We start from the raw sequence: 12370 nt of genomic DNA on the forward strand, positions 1-12370 counted from the left end.
GGAGCCAATTCAAATCTGCCATTAATTATTTCACTGAATATTAAGAAAATTGAGATTATAGTATTTAGCTAGGAGATATGAACATGTTTTTTTCTCTTGTTGTCTAAATCATAAATACCCTCATTTAATCATCTTCATTTAAAAGGGGGATTTGGACTAGAAACTATAATTGGAAGCCTGTGGCCCAGGAGAGCTTAGCCTATTTATTAAAAGTATCACTGCGTATTCAGAGTTATAAAACTGAGTTCTAAGGAGGCCTAATATTCTGCAGCTGGGAGTGGAAGGGCAAAAGGTGAATTGTATTTTTTAAGCCTGTCACTTTGAAAACTCCCTGCTTCAAAACTCAATGCATTTCCAGGATTGTCGACTTCACAGCAGCAGTGAAGCGGGAGATGCAAAGGCATCTTTGGAAGCAGCTACATGTAGAAGTGCTTAATATCTCCCCAGGCTTGTGAGAACTTGTTTATCTGGCAGGTATTTCCAAGCACTCTCTGTTCTTTGGACAATGGAGTTGGCAATCTGGAGACTGTAACTTCATAATAGAGAGGCTTTAGGGAGAGAAGCTTCCATTTAAATTCATTTAAATGGATAAGTATTAGATAACTTCCCTGAAAAAATGTTAACATAGTTATTAAATATATTCAGGTTCCATTCTGATCTCATTCTCTGAACAATTGAACCCCTTTTCACTGGGCATTATGCTGCAATTTTATGGTAGGTTAAATGATACCAAGTGCATTGAAGTTATTCTTAAAATGCCTCTCAGTATTTCTTATATAGTACTGAATAGTTCATCGATGAATAAAATCTCTATTTTCCAGCCATTTTTGAAATAGCACATGGCACATAACTGAAAAAGCCCACGTGGCTAACCTATATTCTGGGTACCATTACATCACAATTGAATTCTGTTGTGATTTTAGTCAAAGCCCTTAACTTCATAAATATATCACAAAAAGCCTGTATCAAGGCCATTGGTCATTGCTGCTTGCAAGAAATAGAGACACATGTGAAGTAGGAAAAAAAGGCTTGTTTAGTGACAATAGAGAAGACAATAACAATACAAAATTATTTTAGATTTAGCTGGGCTTCATGGAGATTGATTCAATTGAGGATTTAAAGGTCTGAAAATGAAATCATTTATGAATTAAGATGCTTATAACCACACAGAAATTATATGCCCAAGTACTATGGCTAGAATAAATAAGGATATTTTTTATCTAACATACCAAAAAATTTAATGATACTTCAGTTGTATATATGTTAATTCAAAACTTAACACAATCACCAGAGACCAAGTCTTTTTTCCTGTTTCAGTCTACTATCTTCAATGTGCTGTCTGTGGTCCTTTGGTTTATCACCTCCTGGTTACAAGATGGTTGCTGTAGCGCCATAACACTATGTCTTTACTTAGCACCATCCAAGGGTAAAAAGTGCATTTTTTTTCTTGTCTCTCTTTTTAACCAGAAGGGAACCATTCCCAGAAGTCCTCCGTAGGTCATAAACCCACTCTTTAGCTATAAAGGAAGCTGAAGAAATATGTATCTGGCATCATTAGCCTATATAATAAGAAATTCCTCTGCCAGAATGGGGAAATATTTGGGAGATATATACTTGGAAAATCACGAGCCAAGTCAGCCATTGCTTTTCCCTTTCTCAGAGCCCAGATTGATATTATCTGTTGTTCTTTCTGTTTCCACTAACTTTTGATCAGTTTGTTGTGCTTACTGAGCCGGTGGCTGTAAAATGTGTATCTGCCGTAGATCCTTCATGAACTACCCAGACTTAACATTTGTCTCATTAAAATTGGTTGAGGAGGGAGTAAAGGCTGGTGTCACATAGTCCACTTTGAATTCAGCAGGAGTTGTGGATGCTAAACATGTCTAGAATTCTATGAATGTATTTTCCCAAGACACACACAGATGCACTTTCTCTTCTAGTTTGCTGGTGTTTTTATAGTATATGATTCTGGTTCTCAACCACTTCATTTGCTTATTTATTAAATTCAGCCTCAGTCAAAATAACCCTTATCCTACTAACCAAATATCCTTTTTTTCTAGATATAAATACCTTTAAATTTATAACTAAATAATGAATATGAGTGTACTTTAAAGTTAAAAAAAGCTACAATTGTAAATTATTTTAATTGCAAAATTAAAATACCTAATTCAATCATCCTAAAAATATTCTACAATAAAATACAAACTCAAATATATATTTTTATAATATATGGTATGGTAACACAAAATATAGAAGATATGCTGCTTCTGCATTGTTTAAAATATAGAGGTTAGTTATTACTGAGCAAGCACCAATGTCTATTATATTTATTGGTCATCGTCTAATAATTCAGCCTGATCTGCATTGGTAATATACTAAAAAAGTAACCACAGTAATGGACTTCTTATATTGCATACTTAGAGTTGTATTTCAAGACACTAGGGAGAAATATATTAATTTATTCCTGTTTGAAGTCTCTGAATACCTGTGTGATTCATTGTTAAATTTAAATAGCTTCACTCCGATATGGTTGTCATCAGCTACACCTCACTTTTGTAGAAACCATGACCCCTCTAATAACAATTCTTAGAGAATATAATCGTGGAAATGTGAAATTAAAATTCTGAAATCTATTAAAATCTGTTCTTAGATGAAGTCAGTAAACACCTCAATATCTAGAACTGTGTCCTAACTATTTGTACCTCCAGAACCTAGCACATTACATTCAATTTTTATTGTTGAAATGAACCAAAACAGTCTATGATTTATACATTAAATCTGCAACTAAGGACCTCTGGCATGATCCAGTGCTAGTCTGTGTTTCGGGTACAAATAGTAAAATAATGTTTCTGCTCTCAATGATCTTTCAACTTGGGTGAAATGATGCATTATAGAAAAATAAAAATATGGCAAACATATTAAGGCTGTCTGTGAGAAGAACCAAATTTGTGACACATAAACACTAAGAATTGAAGATAAATTATTTCTTGTTTTCTGAAGGACCTGGACAGATATAAGAATTCAGTTTGTCTCTTTTCTAGGCCAAAGGAAATTGTAGTGGGAAATTCCAAGGGTAGCAGAGTTATGCAAAGTCACAGAAAAAAGAAATAATAGCAGAAGTAGGTATTATAATTTTGAACTTCCCTTTTATTCCTATATCTATCTTCTATCTATCCATGCATCTATTCTTAGTTATCATCCTTTATATCTAACTATGATCTATGTATCTGTCAACTTTATCTGCTATCTATCAGTTTATCTTCCTATTCTTTAATTATTTATTATTGACTATTTGGTGATTTAATGACTATAATAAGCCTTGACACCAGAAAAATACACATATTTGCTTATACAAAACTTGCTTTGCTACAGAGTCAAAAACAACTCATTTCTACTTGTGAATGTACATTAGGTTATTCCCCCAAGTAGAGTAACTTGGGTAGAATCACATTTTCATTGGAGCTATTGGTTCTAATAGATTTTCATATGTAACTTAAAAGCAGAAGATAATAAATGAAGAGGAGATAATAGACTCTAATAAAAATTAACCCACTCAAAGCCTGAGATTTCTTTAATTTCTGTGGTTTAAAGAAATCCAAATTGTATTTTATATATATATATATATATCACATATATCTATTTACTGCAACATAAAATCACATTGCGAATTATTTTCCATCTAAAACTCATATTTATCTTACAGTTTTACATGTCATCTTCATAATAATGGATATCACCCCCTGCCTGCTAATCCTCTGGGTGTGAGATTATATTGAGAACTACTGAATAAGAGACCAGTTCAAATAATGTTAAAATTATCCTCCTTAGCCTGAATGATGGAATCCTGCATGATCTGACCCTTCTATAGTTGTATCTCTTACTCATCCCTTCCTAGCATTAAAATACCTAGTCCAGTCTCAAACTCCCTCCAGAACTCTGTCTGTTCTCTTCTCCATGTGTTTGTACACATGATAGTCCACTGCCCACATGTACTCACTCCCTTCACTGCACCATCTCTTATTCATCCTTTCAGACTATGTCAATGAGTCTTCTGGAAGCCTTTTCTCAACCTCTGGGTCTACCACTGACATTATATTTATTTATTACACATTAGTCATCTCTTTATGAGTCTGTGTCTTCTTCTAGCTCCATAATCCATCTTCATTGTCTCTCATGTGTCCCAGGAGAAGGCCTGGAATATAATAGATTCTCAGTTAATACTGGTTGAAGTAAACTTATTTGAGCACAGTAGAATTAACTTGACAATCACTGATGACAGCACTGGTAAAAGTAACTTTTTTGATGTATTCTGGCATTGAGGAGAGGAGTACATACATGTGGGTAGAGGTCAGGCACACCAACTAGGAAGCTACCACTTATGGTTCAGGAATGGGTTAATATCAGCCAGCACTAACGCGGGAATAGGTGGGGTGAAACAGAAGAAGCAAATTTAAGAGGCAAGCCTTGGAAAATGAGACAGAGGCAAAACAAGGAGCCAAAGTTATCCCTGAAGTTTCCAGGCTGAATGATGGTGAATGAAACTGGACCAGTCTTTAGTTGTGTTAAAAGGACCTCCTAGATTTGTCTCCCTGAAGGGAGAGGGTACATGTATAGGCTGCTGCAGGGGCAGTGGTAGTGGACAGAAGTCATTTCGAAAGGGGAAGATGGAAGCAAAGCTTAGAAACCAGCTACAAAGAAACCAGAGAGCTTTAATATTAGTGGACAAAATGAAGGCCGCTTGCTGAAACCAAGAGCCTTCTACATCAGAGAGAGTCAGGTTGAAGATGAACCTTATAGTGGCAGCAGGAGGGAAAGGAAGCTTGTCATCCTCCTGGCGGATGCTCCATTAGGCATCCCAAGACAGCCATTAACAACCAGTGAAGTTGAGTCTAAGCCAGCCCAGGGTGGAACCCACAACGGTCTCTCATCACACCCACACTCCCAAGGCACAGCTTCACAAGCAGCATTATTTCCAAGTTCAAAAGTCCTATTATTGCCACTTTAAAAACTGCTCTAACATCTATAAAATTCCAATATTAATTTCTCTTTGTTTCAATGCCAATTTTGTTTAAGACCAATTTAGTTGTATACTCATTATTATCGCCTGTGTTCTGTTTCCATGCCGTGATCTCAGTCCACTCCAGTTGACAAGGAAATCACCCAACTAGCTTTACTATTTGAATTGAGCCAGTTTAACCTCCAAAATAATTTCCTGTATGGACAGAAATTTTCTTAACTGGAAACTAAATTGAATGAGGCAAGAACCTGCTATCTCCCGTGGGCTTCTTCCAAATGGCAACTTTTGCCTATTATACCATAGGACGTCAGCCTCTGCTAACAATCTCCTGTGGGCCCCTCTCTTATCTGTGTCCTGATTGTGTCTTCTTCCTTCATGGACTTATTTAAATGAGTACTCTCAGCTGGGGTTTTTCCTCAGGAAGCCTGTGCCAGAGCTGGCCTAGAGGTGAGGTTGGGCAGTCCCTAGATATGTGGAGTGATAGAAACACAGCCATAAGTACTTCCTGAAAAACACATTTATTCATTTATTCCTTTGTTCATTTTCTTATTCGTTCATACATGTATTCATTCTCTAATTATGCATTCCTCCTTTATAGTTAATATTTCCTGGGTATTACTTAAGTCCCATCCATTGCATTCACAATGTTTGGTAGATCTGAAGGATAGTCAGGAGTGGAATAAGAGAAAAATATAAGGAATATGGGAATAAAGGAAACAGACAAAGTGGTACTCAAGCTGTGGTCTATCAAAGACAACATGCATTTTAAAGTTTCACATTCCTGGGTTCACTTTGCATCAACTGATTCAGAACACTAAGATGAAGACCCAGGAATATTTATTTTACATCCACGGCCAAATTTTCTTACACACGTTAACACGTGTGAACCCCTGCAGTATAGAAAGAAAGAGGATAAGGACAAATTTGGAAATCAAAGATGAGCTTAGAAATAATTTGTTAAATAATGCTGAATCTTTAAAAATATATATTTGTTTAAGTGCTTAAGGCTGAGAACAAACATGAAGATATTACACTTTTGTAAAAATACAGACCAAGATTGGATCCTCTTATTTTATATATGACGTGAGGTGACTTGTTTAATGCCATAGAACTTTGATTTCTCATAATTTTGTTTCCAAACAAGAGTAAGATAATTATAGGGAATTTATTTTACATCTTATATAGAGAAAAACTACCAAATACAAAAGAGTATATTTAATTATGGGGGGGAACATCTGCCCATAAATAATATAAATGTATACATTAACATCTTTTTTGGAATTTTTGCCTGAATTTCCAGGAATCTAGATTTTCTCTTTTTATTAAATTTAAATTTAAATTAATTAAATTAAATTTAATTTTTATTTAAATATAGGTTTTATTTTTATTCTTTTTATAGTCACACAAGTGGATATACCTCTGAAATTACTTTTTTAGAATTTATTTTATTTTAAGTTCAGTGGTACATGTGTTGAAGTGAACTTAGTTTAAGCTTGTTGATTTACTTAGAAACAAAACAAAACAAAAACACTGATTGAGCACTACTGTAGGTCCCGAAGATACAGTGGTGGGTGAATCATGGTCTCTGCATTTGAAAAGCTGAAAAATGAATAGGCAAATAAAACATAATTGGTAAATAATGTGATGGGATAACATGGGGCCTCATGAGGAGATGGAGTTAGCCAAGGGAGCCTTCTTGGAGAAGATGATGGCTAAGCCAGGGTTTGAGAAACTAGTCGATATTAACCAGGAACATTGAGTAAATGTGTGTCCAATGTGAAGGAAAGTCAATGGGAGTGTGAAGTAGAATATCTCCACAATATTCCATCTTTGTTCACTTCTGTCTATGCAGCTCACCTGCTTTCTTCCCCCACTTTGTAGACTGATCCAAAATCAAAATAAAAACAAAAGCAATGACTAAACAATCACAAAATGAATTTGCTTAGGCCCCAAACACCCTTATTTTGAAAGCTGCCGTGATTTTAAAGCCTCTGTCCTCAGTTCTATCTAATTCTCTGAGCCTTGCCTAGACTCTCAGTATCTGTGTGGGCCACCTGGGTGATTGCTATTTCTGGGTCCTCTCTGACACCTTGTCTGTCTCTGTTTTCTGTTTTATTCTTGGGTCCTGCCTGCAGTCATGCTTCGGTTTTACCTTCTGAATTCTGCTTTACCATAGTGGTTTACATGTGACATCATTCAAAATCTGGCTCTTTCTGGGTTAGCAATGAACCGTATATATATATATATATATATATTTTTTTTTTTTTCCTGAGGCACGTTGTTGGATGACTTCACTCATATTTGTTCTACTTCAAGCCAGTCTGTACCAGGCTTCATCTGATTACTTTATTCTACAACTGAGCCAAATACATAATTAAGTGGGTGTAACCAATGAGTTGCTAAGACTCCAGGAATTGACATTTCTTTGTTTGGGGAAATGAGAAAAAAAAATGCACTATTAAAACATAATGCATGGGATTAACAACACATAAAATCGTCCTTTAAATCTGCTTTCTCATCTCAGAAATAAAATCAAACACGTAAAAATGGCTGCCTCAGCTTCTTGAATGATGTTAGATATTAAGAAAGAAAAAAAGTAAGGATATGTTCATTTCTAATTGTAAGTGTCAATTTCAATCAATTGAACTATTTATTAGGGACAATGTTCCGTCCTGGTCCTTTGCCTTTAACTCAAGCACCCCACTGCTTTCTCAAAGTAAAAATCCTATTCTGCCAAAGTGAATATTTGTTTTGGAAGTTGAGGGCCAATATCCTCACTCTTCTTCTGGTAAGCGCTTTTCTCGATTCCCACTTTCTGACTCTGGGGCATGGATGAGCTTACCTTATTTTCATTTTTAGTGGCTGGCTCATGAATGAATGTACGATCCAATTTTGGGTAATGAGTGTCAGACCTAGGACTTGTATTTGAATTTTTAAGAACAAATCCCTTCTTTGTTACAAACTTGGAGTTGGGGTCAAGCATGTTGTTGGCATTCATTTTACCTGAGAATAAACAGGGCCAACTAAGTGAAAAACAGGTGAGAGGTGAGAGATACGGTGTCCTGAAAATTTCCTTGAGCCTGTGAATCTAGCCATTCTTTGAAGGCAAAGCTTCCCTAGTTTTTAAGAGTATAAAACGCTGATTCTGGTTCATGTTTACGTTATGGTTTTTGAGGCTGTTTGATTAAGATCATTTAGATCTTTGGAAAATGAAACTAAAAGAGTTTTGCTTAATGTACTTGAGAAAATTTACTCAATCCTATTTTCTCCCGATGCTTTCCCAAATCTTTTACATTGATCTTAATCCGCAGTCCCATTTCCTTGTGTTGATGAATGTGGATTGTCTGTCAGAGCACCCTATGTAGTTTATTTTACAGGATAGCTACTTTTGCATAAGTGTGTCTTCCCCAGTACATTCTTACAACTTGGAGGATAAGGACTACACACATTCATCTACCCATACACACAGTGAAACACATGTGTAGCTTAAATAAAACAGACATTCTCCAAGGATTTCTCCAATTATAATAATTGATTGGGCTTCAAAAACTCAAGGTTGAATTTCAGCTTCTAACTTGATGAGAATGGCTGTCTTAATTCTGTCATTTTTTGTTAATTTTACTTCCAGGAAGTCAGGGCTGTGATTTGAGGCTTTTTTCTCTAAGCTTCTGTGATGGAGATGAATTTATTAAAGTGGGGCCATAATGTCTTTTTGAGCAACATTAAAACTGAGTCATCAGAATTAGGAAGTATCAGAAGTCAAGATCAATTTTCAAGAACAGGAGCATAAAATTCGAACTCAATCTGTGTTAACATTAAGAGATTTAGAAGCTCATTCAGACTGATAACTAACGAATAATATAGCTTTCATTTGTTGGAGACTTTATGTGAGCCAGCCAGTTATACATGTTATTTATAATCCCCACAGTAACACTGCAAGGTAGTTATCAACTCTATTTTGCAGTTGAGGAAATTGAGGCTAAGAAATATGCCATTTAACTTTTGCTGCATAACAAACTACCCCAAAAGCTAATGGTTTAAAACAATATGCATCTTTTGTGTCTCAGCATTTTGAGGTCCCAGTGAGTAGCTCTTCTGGTCTGGATTAGTTCAGCTATCTGCAGTCTGCTAACATATCTGGTGCTAGATGATCTACAATGACTTTACCCACTTAGTAAATCTAGTTGATGGTAGGTTTTGTTCAGGTACCCTCAACTCTCCTCCATGAGACTGGTGTGAAAAGCTGCCTTGAGCTCAATCATGTCATGGACTCAAGTTTTCAAGCACAGCAAGAGAGGAAAAGCCCCAGTAATTGAGCATTTTTTCAAATATATGCTTGTGTTAAATTTTCTAATTTAAAAATTTTCCATTTTAAAATTTCTAACTTCTAGTTGACCAAACAATTCAGATGACCATTCCCAGATTTGAGAAGTAGAGAAATAGAGTCATGTCAAGAGAGGAGGAATGGCTCAGTTGCAATTCAAAGGGGTGTGCATATGATGACCAGAAGAATTACTGTGATTAATTTAAAAAAAAAATGAATTCTACCAAAAAAAAAGTAACTCAACTAATGATACAGAGCTCATACTAAAGCACAAAAGAGCTTGACTTAAAAACATGATAGTTAGTATTCTATATTTTATGAGACTGACTCACACACACCAGAAAAAAAAAACACACAAACAAACAAAAAGAAACCAAAAAAGCACCTAGCTAAGGGCACAGTTGTAATTCATCCTACAGAGTGCATTTTTTTTATATTTTCTGTTCCCAGCAGGGCTTCTTCTTTCACCACACCAGTGTTTGTGTCTCCCTGGATCAAATGAGAATGTCTATGTCTAGATCACTTGTTGGAGAAATCGTCTTTAATGAATATCTCATCTGTAGTGGTATTCAGTAGCAAAAGTCACATGTAAGAATGGCCCAAACTCAAGTTTAAGACAATAGGGAGATAAAGCGTCTGTGGCAATATGAAGCATCTGCCCCATCTAAAAGTATCCAAATTAGGGAAAAAAAGCACAACACTCTATTGCCCAAAGTAAATCTGTCTCGGAGCCAGAAATGGCCGACAACTACCTGTTTGTGGTCTCTGCCATATAAACACCTACCTACTCGTACCTGGAATTAGCAACATTCCAACAAAAACTGTCCCCCCAGAGTCCTGTCCTTCTACAACTGAGACATGGAGAAGTGGGAATCTTTTCAAAAGAAACCCCGATGGGCTTTTTGGTAATGGTGAGATAACCAGCATATCTGCATCTTCACAGGGTCCTGTCATTTGATGCATCCAGCAGAGGGATTGTCTGTTCAGGAAGTCACATAGACACTGAGGCTGAGTGAGACATCATTCTCCACCTGAGATGTGGGTTCATGTGTCATGAAAACTGCCAGGTAGAGGAAATATACCCCTAGATTCACACACACAAAAGGCCTGGAGGTTCAGTTTGTCAGCCGTCAAAGGGCAATGGAAAGCTGTGTGCTTTTTCTCTAAAACTGTGAGAAAACCAAGAATTTAATACCTCCGTTCCAACTTCAAACCAATCAAACATTGGCAGTTTGGGATTGTTTTATTTTGAGGCTTTAGCTTATCTCCGTGGGATAAAAGCCTTTCCAAACTGGCTTTAACTAAAAATGTCATCAATCCCAGCTGCTCACTGGTTAGCAAAAAGAGTGGTAACAGAAGGTCCCTTTTGATAGTCCCCTTCCATAATATCATTATCCAAATTTGCATGGCAAAGATGTGGGAGCTATTTATATGTTGATTATTACAGTGCTGCAGTTTATATTTTTCCCAGCACAGTTGAAAATTATATTTAGAAAGGCTGACTTCATCTTTAAATATATATTATAGCTCTCATTTGATGGAGATGAGATGTTGAAATACATGCCACCTACTCAACGTCTCAGAAAAATGGCATAGATATTTCACACATGGTTATATATAAACGTGTACACTGGCATGGAACTGAACTGGCAGCTATAAGACTTTGAAGGAGTTTTGTGGGCTCTGGTTTTTGCCTTCTCAGTTTGCTCTTTATTTAAAAAGGAGGGTGGGCACTGTGATTTGGTTGTAAGAACAGGGCTTCATAGCCAGAAAGTATGGGTTCTGAATTCTAGCTCTGCTAGAATAGTAGAATAGTAGCTGTGTGATTCTGAAAAAGATACTTATCCACTGTAAACATCTATATTTCTCAAGTATAAGATGTCACTGAGTGCTCACTTGAGAGATATTAGAAGTAAATTGTGCAGCACAGTTAACAGTTAATGAAAAAGAATGGTTAGCATTATGAAACATTTTCCCAACAATGGAATGCATGCTTTACATAAATTGTGATGGTTAATTTTGTGTGTCAACTTGATTGGACCATGGGGTGCAAAGATATTTGATCAAACAGTATTCTTGGGTGGCTTTGGATGAGATTAATATCAAAATCAGTAGAATGAGGAAAGAAGATTGCCCTCCCTAATGTAGGTAGGCCTCACCCAATCAGTTGAAGGTCTAAATTGAACAAAGTAGTTGACCCTCTCCTGAGTAAGGTAACTTTTCCTTCTTGGCTGCCTTTGAAATAGAAACATCTGCATTTTTTTCTTGTCTTTGGACTGAACGTTTGCTCTTCTTGGGTTTTATCAGCTTTTGAATAGGAATCATACCATCAGTTCTTCTAGTTCTCAGGGCTTCAGGCTACACCTGGGACTAAATCATGCACTCTCCCAGAACTCCACTTGCAGACTCACCCTGCAGTTCTTGAGACTTGCCAGTCTTCATAATCATGTGAGCCAATTCTTTATAATAAATCTTTCTCTCTCTCTCTCCCCATACATATAGATAGATAGATATAAAGATATAGATAGATAGATTAGATAGATAGATATGTGTCTGTGTGTGTATATATATGTATATGTAGGTATAAATGTACAGTATATATATCATATGTTTCTTATTCTGTTTCTTTGCAGAACTCTGAAAAATACACAGATTATTCACTTAAGTATTTTGTTTCCTAGGATAATTTATTAAGATAGAAGATATTGCTCTAAGTTTCCCTATCCTTATCCTGTTTAAGAGATGACGAAATTGAGGCCTCCAGAAGCAAAATAATATGTTCTAAGGATATATAGGCATGACCTGGTGGAGGCAGAATTTGAAACTTGGAAACCCGATGTTATATTTTACCCATTTAACTACTTCCTTAACTTGTCTAGAGGTTAGACAAAGTTAGCTGCTGTCCCAACCCTGAGAAGATTCTGGAAGCCTGAACTCACAGTGAATCACAACCAAGGGCACTGTAAGATAACAGCCCACCTCAGGACAATGTGTAAGGAGCATCTGACTGTAGTGTGGTGGGGTGCAGA

General features: G+C 36.2%; 1 long non-coding RNA gene across 2 annotated transcripts in view; it reads left to right on the top strand.

Annotated features, from left to right (window-relative positions):
- The window catches only part of LOC105374511 (uncharacterized), a 482145-nt gene that overhangs the window by 78558 nt on the left and 391217 nt on the right, over positions 1-12370 (top strand). The window lies entirely within an intron of this gene.

Source organism: Homo sapiens, chromosome 4, assembly GCF_000001405.40.
Source record: "Homo sapiens chromosome 4, GRCh38.p14 Primary Assembly".
NCBI lineage: Eukaryota > Metazoa > Chordata > Mammalia > Primates > Hominidae > Homo > Homo sapiens.